The sequence below is a fragment of the Homo sapiens genome, chromosome 5, assembly GCF_000001405.40.
Source record: "Homo sapiens chromosome 5, GRCh38.p14 Primary Assembly".
NCBI classification, from domain to species: Eukaryota; Metazoa; Chordata; class Mammalia; order Primates; family Hominidae; genus Homo; species Homo sapiens.
Window position 1 is genome coordinate 173,822,022 of NC_000005.10, and position 1,159 is coordinate 173,823,180.

The 1,159-nt window shown below is 47.3% G+C and overlaps 1 annotated feature.

Moving 5' to 3' along the window:
• Positions 401-803: a transcriptional cis regulatory region, noted in NCBI's record as "candidate enhancer chr5.4552 targeted for multiplex CRISPR interference". NCBI's record gives its function as "positively regulates CREBRF gene expression with high confidence in K562 cells {active_cell/tissue: K562}" and the evidence as "EXISTENCE:mutant phenotype evidence [ECO:0000015][PMID:30612741]".

A 1,159-nucleotide genomic window follows, 5' to 3' on the forward strand; every position in this document is an offset into this window, starting at 1 on the left:
TTACATATATTTAATATGCTACTAAAGGGATTTTACCAGTTTCTTTTTACTTTTTTTTTTTTTTTTGAGATGGAGTCTTGCTCTGTTGCTCAGGCTGGAGTGCAATAGTGTGATCTCGGCTCACTGCAACCTCCGCCTCCCGGGTTCAAGCAATCCTCTTGCCTCATCCTCCTGAGTAGCTGAGATTACAGGCGCGTGCCACCATGCCCAGATAATTTTTGTATTTTTAGTAGAGATGAGGTTTCACCATGTTGGTCAGGCTGGTCTCGAACTCCTGACCTCGTGATCCGCCTGCCGCAGCCTCCCAAAGTGCTAGGATTACAGGTGCGCCTGGCCTCTTTTTACTTTTTTAATGTAGCTGCTAGAAAATGTAAAATTACATACGTGACTTGCATTATATGTATGGACGATGCCACCCTAGGAAGCTGACATTTTCCAGAAATCATCAGTGGCCTGATCTGTCAGCAGGTGTGTGTGTGTGGGTGTGTATGTGTGTGGGGGTGTGGGTGAGCCATTGAGGGGAGGCAGCACAGACCCAACAGTAGACATGCTACTTGGACTTGACACTGTAGAAGACAGAGAATGAGTCAGGCATTATGAGAAGCAGATTGGCCCGATTACATTGTTTAAATAACACCTCAAAGCAGAGTTGGGGAGGGACTAGACGTTCTCACGAAAAACAAAGCCACAAGAAGCTTTGTGGTGGAACAGAAAGAGGACAGTCACTAGGCTCAGGCTAGCCTAGTGGCTAAGAGTGTGGGCTCTGGAGTTTGAATCTTAGCCTTCCCACTAACTAGCTGTGTGAGCTCCAGTAAGTTACATAACAACTCTGTTTGTCTGTACAGTAAGGATCTATATCATTGGGTTGCTAAGAGGTATCTTAGTTTGGGCTGCAATAACTATACGGTTGATGCAAAAGTAATTACAGTTCTTGTGATTGAAACTAATGGCAAGCAGGGTGCAGTGGCTCACGCCTGTAATCCCAGCACTCTGGGAGGCCGAGGTGGGCGGATCATGAGGTCAGGAGATCGAGACCATCCTGGCTAACACGGTGAAACCCCGTCTCTACTAAAAATACGAAAAATTAGCCAGGCGTGGTGGCAGGTGCCTGTGGTCCCAGCTACTCGGGAGGCTGAGGCAGGAGAATGGCATGAACCCA